This window comes from Homo sapiens, chromosome 5 (genome assembly GCF_000001405.40).
Source record: "Homo sapiens chromosome 5, GRCh38.p14 Primary Assembly".
Lineage (NCBI taxonomy): Eukaryota > Metazoa > Chordata > Mammalia > Primates > Hominidae > Homo > Homo sapiens.
In genome coordinates this window covers 9546200-9555426 of record NC_000005.10, presented here as the reverse complement: position 1 = coordinate 9555426, position 9227 = coordinate 9546200, and the positions used below count along the sequence as shown (strand labels likewise).

At 43.7% G+C, this 9227-nt stretch overlaps 1 long non-coding RNA gene and 1 other non-coding gene across 2 annotated transcripts; both read right to left on the bottom strand.

Moving 5' to 3' along the window:
* SNHG18 (small nucleolar RNA host gene 18) lies at window positions 5129-9227 on the bottom strand. Its single transcript, NR_045196.2, has 3 exons — window positions 8897-9227; window positions 6278-6437; window positions 5129-6125 (listed from the first exon to the last, which is right to left on the bottom strand). It is a non-coding gene; the product is annotated as a small nucleolar RNA host gene 18 (long non-coding RNA).
* Window positions 6513-6600, bottom strand: SNORD123 (small nucleolar RNA, C/D box 123). Its single transcript, NR_003689.1, has one exon. It is a non-coding gene; the product is annotated as a small nucleolar RNA, C/D box 123 (small nucleolar RNA).

The following is a 9227-nucleotide window of genomic DNA, read 5'->3' as shown; positions in this document are numbered from 1 at the left end:
TCCTTAATCACTCATGGAAATTTGTGTTTGCTTTGCGTATAAACTTTAGGATCTTAGGTTTCATAAAAAGCCAGTTGAGATTTTGATTAGACGTACATCGTATTGAAGGATAAATTTGGGTATCATGGATATTTCTGAATGAATATTTTATTTTCAAGGTATTGTATACTGAATCTTCCAATACATCAATGTGGAATAGCATACATTTATTTTGGTCTTCTTTAGGATCTTTAAATTTAGCTTTATAATTTTTTTCACAAAAGTCTTTCAGAACTTAATAGAAATTTCTCTTTATTCTAATTGTTGATATGCAGACTTACTTAAGTGTTTTTATTAGATACAATTATATCATCTGAAACTAAAAGTTAATTTTTCCCTTTTCAATCACTGTTTAGATGTTGAAGAGAAATATCCATAAGGAGGTTTGATTTGTCCTTACAGATATTTCTCTTCAACAACAGTGATTGAAAGTACAGGTTGTCTTGATCTTCTCTTTCAATTGAATGCCTACGACTTTTCACCACTAAATAACAAGTTTTTGGTGATTTTTTTTTTGTCAATTTAGGTAAATTCCCTTCTATTACTAGTTAGCTAAGAGGTTTTTTTTTTTTGAATGACAAACACGTTTAATTTTATCAAAACATATTCTGCAGCTATTGAAATAATCATTTTTAAAATTTGTTGATGAGGTGATTTATATTAGCATATTTTCTAATGATAAAACATCCTTGAATTTGTTAGTATTTGGCCTATGATTTTTCTATTCACTGGAATGCTGATAATAAAATAAGGATTAATTTTGCCTTGGAAGCAGTGACCAGATACTGAACCTACTGGTGATTTGATCTTGGACTTCTCAGTCTTAAGAACCATGAGAAATATATTTCTATTGTTTATAAAGTAACCAGCTTAAGGTTTTTGTTATAGCAACCTGGAATGAACTAAAACAGAAATTGGTAATGAGTAGTGGGGTGCTGCTGTAGCGAATACCTGAAAATGTGGGAGCAGCTTTGGAACTGGGTAATGGGTAGAGGCGGAAAGAGTTTGGCAAAGTAGGCTAGAGAAAGCCTAGATTGCCATAAATGGACTGTAAAACGTAAAGGCTCATATGAAGAGTTACAGACAGAGCCTCAGTCTTCTTGGAGATTACGTAAAAGATTGTAATAAAAATGTTGTTAGAAATATGGATGATAAAGGTCATTTTGATGAGGTCTCAGATGAAAATGTTCTGGAAACTGGAGGAAAGGCTATCTTTGTTATAAAGTGGCAAATAACTTGGCTGTATTGTGTCCGCATTCTAGTGCTCTGTGGAGGGTGGAATTTAAGAGTGATATACTAGGATATTTGGTGAAGAAATATCTAAGCAAATTGTTCAAGGTACTATGTGGCTTTTCTTGACTGCTTATCATAAAATGCAAGAGAAGAGAAATGAATTAAAGATGGAATTTACAATAAAAAGGGAAGCAGAACTTAAAGATCTGGAAAATTTTCAGCCTCGCCAGGTTGTAAAGATTCAAAGGGCATGTTCAGAAGAGAATACCAAGGGCGTGGCTAAGCAAATGTAACTTTTGATATGAGATTAGTGTGGCTATAAGGAAGCCAGATGCTATTTATCCAGACAATAGAAGAATGACTCCAAAGGCATTTCAATCTTTGAGGCTGCCGCTCCCATCATGATCCCAGAGTACCAGGGCCTTCAAGTCAGAAAGGTTTCAAGGGAGGGGCCCAGGGCACCCATGGCACCTCAGGTTTCACTGCCTAGGGCCTCCTCAGATCTTTGCTCCCCGCATTCTAACACAGTGCTTTTTAGCTGCCCCAGCTGGGGCTCAAGTGGACTCAGATGTGGCCTGGGCCACCCTTCTGAAAGGTACAAGTAATAAGCCTTGATGACATTCTTGAAGTGCCAACTCTGCATGTATATAGAGTGTATGAGCTGTGGAGGCATGGCTGTCTCCACGTAGATTTCAAAAGATGTCTTGGAGAGCCCAGAGCCCAGACAGAAAACTGCCACAAAGGTGAGATAGGTGCAGACGGTCCCTACTAGGACAATGATCAGCAGAGCTGTGGGGTCAGGGTTGCCTCTGAGATCCCAAACTGGTAGAGCCACCAGCGTGCAATGCCAGCCTAGGAGAGCCACAGGCACTGGACTCCAACTTGTGAGAGCTACAGCATGGGCTGTGCCCAGCAAAGCCATGGGGGTAGGGCGGGTGGGACCCTTGGATGTCCAACCCTTGCCCCAGTGTGTACGGAAGGATGAACATGGACTCAAGACCATTCTCAAGCCTCAAGATTTAACAGTTTGCCTTGCTGGGTTTTGGAATTCCATGGGGCCTGTGACCCTTTCTTCTTGCCCATTTCTCCCTTGCAGAATGGGAATGTATATCCTATGCCTGCACCACTATCGTATTTTGGAAGCACATCGCTTGTTTGATTTCATAGGCTCAGAGCTGGAGGAGTGTGCCTTAGGATGACTTGTACCTTCAGTCTCAGCTGTATCTGATATAGATCATATTTAAATGAGACCTTAGACTTAGACTTTAAAGTTAATGCTGGAACACGTTAAGAATTTGGGCAATAAGTTATCGATTTTGGGATGAATTTTGTATATGAGGACACGAATTTTGAGGGGTCAGGGGAAGAATGCTATGGTTTGACTGTATTCTCCCCAAAATTCACGTTGAAAGTTAATCCTCAATCCAACAATATTATGAGGTGGGGCCTTTTGGAGGTGATTAGGCTATAAGGGCTCTGACCTCATAAGTGGGATTAGTGGCTTATAAAAGGGCTGGAGGGAATTAGCTGGGCCCTTTTCTCCATCCAGCTCTTCAGCCATGTGTGGACACAGTGTTCCTCTTCTCTAGAGGATGCAGAAACAAGGCACCATCTTGGAAGCAGAGACTGTGCCTTCACCAGACATTGAACCTGCTGGTGCCTTGATCTTGAACTTTCCAGCCTCCAGAACTGTTATAAATAAATTTCTATTGTTTATATATTACTGAGTTTAAGGTTTTTTGTTATAGCAGCCTGAAATGGACTATGACAGTATTTATTGCTATTCATTTGCAATTACTATTACAATCCTTGATATGTTAACAAGTGTGTTTGAATTAAATTCCAAAGTTAATCTCCATTTCCACCCTTTTCTGGAGTCTTACTCTTATCCTTTATCTTTCCCACTTTCTTGCTGGTCTCTACTCATCCTTCAAATCTCATCTCAAATGCTACTTTTTCAGTGATGCCTCTCCCATTCCCCATACTAAACCAGACACCCATATATTTGTCCTTCATAGCATTTATCAGGGTTTAGAATTACATACTTGTGGGTTCCATAACTCAGTAAGCTGTAACTCGGTAAGCTGTAACTTCTGAAAGGGCAGGGATCGCCTGTGTGTCTTTTCATTCTATTTTGAATGTGCAGCCATGCGTCTGGCACATGGTGTGCAACAAGCTTGGTTGCAGATGGGAAAGCTGGGTGGGAGAAAGGGAGAGGGGGCACTGGCTGCATAGGCCGCAATGTTGAGGGATGAAACTGGACCCAAGCTGCAGGGTTGCCAGACCTGGAGGAACTGAATCCCCTCCATTGGTAAGGAATCACATTCTCCTGCTAAAAACAGAACAGAAACAATGATGGCTAAAGCAAAACAGAAAGTTCTTTCTTTCTCATGTCATGAAGTCTGGGGTTAGGTAATTCAGGGCTGAGGCAGGGGCTCCATGGAGTCACCAGGGATTTAGGCTACTTTTTACACCATCATCCTTGGCTCATAACTTATATCCTCAAGAGCCTAAACTGGTGCCTGGCATTTCATTTTTTGTTTGTTTGTTTTGGGACAGAGTCTCACTCTGTCACCCAGGCTGGAGTGCAGGTGCCTGATCTTGGCTCATTGCAACCTCCTCCTCCCCAGTTCAAGAGATTCTCCTGCCTCAGCCTCCCGAGTAGCTGGGACTACAGGTGCGTGTCACCATGCCAGGCTAATTTTTGTATTTTTAGTAGAGACAGGGTTTCACCATGTTGGTCAGGCTGGTCTCAAACCCCTGACCTCAGGTGATCTACTCACCTTGACCTCCCAAAGTGCTGGGATTACAGGCATGAGCCATCGCACCCGACCAGTGCCTGGTATTTCCACCATCACAATCAACTTCCAGGTGGGAATCCAGAAGTAGGAGAGAAGGACAGGAAAGACCATGCCCATTTAGTTGTCTGCCCCCTTTTACAAAGCCTATCTTAGAATCCTACTCCACTTATATCTTATTGGTTATGGCTGAGTTCTATGGCCTCACCTAGCTGCAAGGGAGTTTTTTTTTTTAAAGCCAAGTAGTTTCCAATTCAAATAAAATCAGGTCTGTGTTATTAACGGTAATGATGATGATGATGATGTATGTGTGAGGGGTGGGTGTGATGCTGCTGATTGGGGAATGATCACTGGAACTGGAGTCAGGAAGACGGTAAGAGGAGGTGTTGGTAGTTTGGGTGAGAGACACTGACACTGTGAATTATGGTAATGAGAATGGATTGGAAAGGAGGGCCTGAAACAACACTTGATGGAGGGCCCACTGGATGCTTGATGGCTCTTCTTTCTATGGATTTGCTCAGGAGACATTTTACTTTTGGGTTTAATTTCACTTAATCATCTTTTCATTAACTCAAGGTTATTTTGAGTTAATCTCTCTGGTAAATAATGAAGTAAACTAAGGCAGAGTAATCTGTGCTTCTAAATCTAAGCAGGATGAATATTATTTTTGAAAACATATTTCCAAAGGTACTTATTTTCCCCCAAAGCTCTATTTTCAAAGGCAGAGGAATAGAGAGGACATTGGTTAATAAGTATAAAACATATCTTTTTAAAAACAGTATAGCCATTCTTTGCTTATAGACATTCAAGATATATACAAGACTCAATGTCGGAAAATAACACCCTGGAAACCATCCAGAGGCTTCATCTCCATTACAAGCTATCTGTATTTTCTTCAGATATTCCAAAAATCTTTTAAACTTAGCATTTTTTTCTTCTCCCCAGACCACACTTATAAAAGATGACTTGGGCTTTTTTGACACAACAATTTTGTTTAAGCAAATTGAGTTGCTAGACAATATATCCAGAAATTTAACCAAGAGGACAAGGCAAAACACTTTCAGATTTCTAGAATCCTTTAATTGTCTGCACCCATAGCTGAAGTAAAATACAATATCTTATTAAAAGGCCCGTACTGAAAGAAGAATCAGTAAACTCTTCTTAAGAAGAGTCAGCTGCTCCTGCGAGTCAGCGCATCTTCTTAAATGCGTGCTCTGCTTCTGGTATCCTTGAGTCATTGCTTTAGCCAGGCTGCTTCCTTGAACTTGGCTGTGAGGTGGGGGAATGTGGTTCTCCCTTGAGAAATGGGTTCCAGAGAGCTCGAAGATGAGCAGAGTTTGCCTGGGTTAGGTGAGGTCCAGGTCATGCTGTGCCAACCTCTGGGAACATGTAGCAGTGGCAAAGTGCAACCCTCTGACCAGACATGGGCAGAGGCAGACTCTGACATTGGGTCTTGTATATATATGTGAGGCAGGCCCTGGTGGACTTGAGTGGAAGCTCAGACTGCAGAGTGGGGCACATGATGGGGTCCCAGGCTGTGCCTGGAGGAGCAGACTGACCTGGCCCTTCAGTTTAAGGGCCAGGAAACTGCACTTGCTATGCACATTTGTGCTCATTCTCATCTGTGCCTCAAGTATTTTCTGTCTAAGTTTCTGGGTGGCTCCTTTTTAGTAAAACTGGTCTGCTTAACTTTGCCAATAGAGTGGGCTGCCACACTAAAGAGGAATGCGTGTTTCTTGGGGTAAGAGAACCCTAAAGACGTTTTGGTGAAATCCAAGTGGAGGGGCTATTTCCCTAAAATCTCCCCACTTGTAGGTTCCTAATCCATCAAAAGAACCTGACAAAAGAAACCTGTCTGGGGGCAACACAGCATCACCTGTACCCATAATCATGTTTTCCCAATACTTTGAAGTAGGTGAGCAATAAAGCAGCCCTAGGCAATCTTAGTGAGACATCAAACTTCACGTCTTTGTACCAATGTTTAGCATTAGGAAAAAGACTGATGGGCCTGATCAGATGATCTTTCCATTTCTTCAGTTTTTAAATGTCATGGATCTAAAAGAATGGAAACAGGGGTAAAAAGAGAACACTTATGGAGGATGATTGTAATGCATCTCATTGGTAGGAAAATGCAGTTAAGATGTAAATGTCAAGAGGCCACGATTTCTGGATTGAGGTTTTTTTCTATAATTTTAATACAATCTTACCACATCTTAAAGACCACAGATACCCGGCTTTCCTTTGAAGGTCACTCATGGCCCACAGTCATGTCCTGATTTCTTCCAGGTGATGTTCTTTCCAGAAAGCCCCCCTCCCTGTTCCTCTGGTCTGAGATGGCAGCTTAGGGATGTGGCTGAAATTCAAGCACTAGGGAGGGAAGTAAAGACAAGACAAAATTGGTCAATTAGTGCAGAAACATAAATGATCTTTCATAGTTCCGAACAGAATTGAGGTGAATCAGGAAATGGATGGCATTTTTCAAGTCACATGAATCAGCGCCCCAGAATTCATCATTTTCACCAAGTGTTTTGTTGGTTTCTTCATTCTTTCACATTGTGTGCATGGCTCACCTAAAACAGTTTAGGGAAAGCTATATTTTACTTTGAAAAGATAACTAAATACTTTTGTTTGTTTAAAAATGATCATCCTTAGTTTTATAATGTGATGAGAAGCAGCTTAATGCAGATAGCTTTCTAGCAAGCAAGACCTTTGCAAAGCAAAACAAACAAAAAACAAAGAAATTTTGTTTAGAAAAAAGAAATACTTGTGGATACCTCAAAATGACTTTATGAAGAGCCTGCTTATATGTTGGGTGCTCGGTGAGTATTTCACACAGATTACTGTCTTTCTCCTTTCAAGCAGACAGCTGACATACCCCTGCCAGGCTGGTGTGTCTAAGCTCCAGGTGAAGAGACTGTAGCTCAGAAAAGTTAAAGAACTTTCCCCAGATTAAAACTCAAAATTATATCCTCAATTTAGATCCATTTCACTTTAAACAAAGGATGCACTCTAAATTATAATTTGGTTTATTTACCTGCTTATTAGCAATTATTTTGTAATTAATCACAATTATCACTAAAATATACATCTTTTAACAATGCATTGGTGCAGCCTGTAAACAGCAAAACTGAATTCAACTCCCCCCTACATATATACAAAATTATGTAATTTATCCAGTTAAATGTTATGTTATCAGACCTATTGGGTCATGGTTTAGAAAGCTATCTTCTTCCCACTGCTTAGCTCTATATGCCAAGAGTTTTTTTGCTTTTTTTTTTTCTTTTCAAGTATTAACGGCAATGTTCAGAGGCAAGAAGAGGATTAGCTGAATACATTGGGTTCTAATTTCTGTCTCCCTCACCCTGGCCACGTAGGCTCCACAGGTCCAGGCAAAGGCTGCAGATCCAAGCATAAGGCAGCTTCCTCCCTACATCTTTCCCCCTAGAAGCAGCCAGGCAAGACCTTGGCCTGCCTCTTCCTCCCAGGGAGGCTCCTAGGCCTCTGTGCCACGTAGGCAAGATAATCGGAATGTCTGGAATGGAACTAGTGCTCTAAGTGCCAAGCAAGGGAAGGGAGAACGGTTAAGCTTTTCCTTCAGGTCCCCAGGAGCCTGCAGCTGCCACACAGCAGGCCGGGAGCCCCCGCCACAACCCAGGGAGGAATGCTTGCCAAGAAGGCCTGCCCAGCTACTGACACTTCCTCCCAGAGGTCTTAAAGGAAATCCCAGTAAGGCCTGAGTACCCAAGACAGCCAGATCACCCGTGCCAGAGACTGGGCATTTGGGGATGGGCTGGGCTTTCATAGAAACCTTCGGAATTGCTTTCACTTAATTCTTTTATTTTAAAAAAAAGTTCTAGAAAATAAAGACACATCGATAGCAATTTGTATTTCCATTGTCCTCTTAGGTCTGCATGGCTACTGTGCGAGCTATGACACCCTGCAGCCTGCAATAGCTTCTTTGTTTTATGGATGAGCTCAATGGAACCCTTATGGACGCACCGGACCATGCCCAGGACCAGCGAGGCCCATCCATACCCCACCACTGGCTGGAAGGGCGCTGGTGTGAACGTGGGTCCTTGCGGGGGTCCCTACCTCACTGCGGTCAGGAGGGGGCAATTCACACATTTCCTCATGCAGGGGACCTTCAAGCCTCCCTCTGAGGCGCAGACTGAGTAAAAAGGGCCCAGAGATACTGTCCCGCACCCCCATCCAGTGGGAAAGGGCCACTCAAGGCCAGTCAGGACTCCCAACCCAAGTTTTATGCCTTATACTCCTATAACTTTACCATTTGCTCTTTTCGCGAGGCTGACCCCCTCCCTCTCCCCCCCCACCGCCTCCTCCAGAAACTGAAGAACTGCAACAAAGTGTCCAATTATACACGTCTTCAAAGGTACTTTACTTGCTTCCCAATTATCAACTTTTCACCTGAGTACTTAGTAAGGCCCAAGGATCCTGCAAAAGTGCAACAAGGAATAATTGACACAGAATTGGACGAATGACTTTGACCATACGGGACTTCTCTCTTAACGCTCAGCGTGGCTACCTGGGGACGCCTTCTCTGGCCTCCCTGATTCGTCAGATTTGTTCATTTCCTTGACTTAATCCCGCTGAAATCGACCCGAACTAGCCGGGAGTCTCACCCCCAAAGTGCTCCTCCAAGAACCCGCAACGACTGACTCTCTCGTCTTCTTTAAGGAGTTTCTCCCTCAGAACGGATGAGGATGTCACACAGAAAGAACAAAATCACAAAGTTCGAGTTCCGGAGGACCAGACGGCCCCTGCCCCCCATCCCCCGGGCCAGATTTAGCCGAGGGAACCGCACGTACCTGAAGCCGAGGCCGGCAGAGAGGGAGCGCCACGTCTCAGGTCTCGGCCGGCGCCCCCCTCCGGGGTGCAGCCACGTCTGAACCGGGACAGCGGGCGGGGGAGCCGCAGAGGGACCCAGTGAGACGGGGGAGGGAGCCCCCAAAAGTCAGCGCTCGGCCGCACTCGCACTGGGGAGGCTGGAATGGAACTCCTGGGGTGCAGCGGGGCTCCCAGGAGCGAAGGTGGGGGTCCTGTACCGGGAAGGGGCGGGGCCCGGGGAGGGGCTCGGGGAGGTCAGGCGCGGGTGGGGCGCTCGAGTTTCACCCCGGCGGGGAGGAGGAGGAGGAGGAG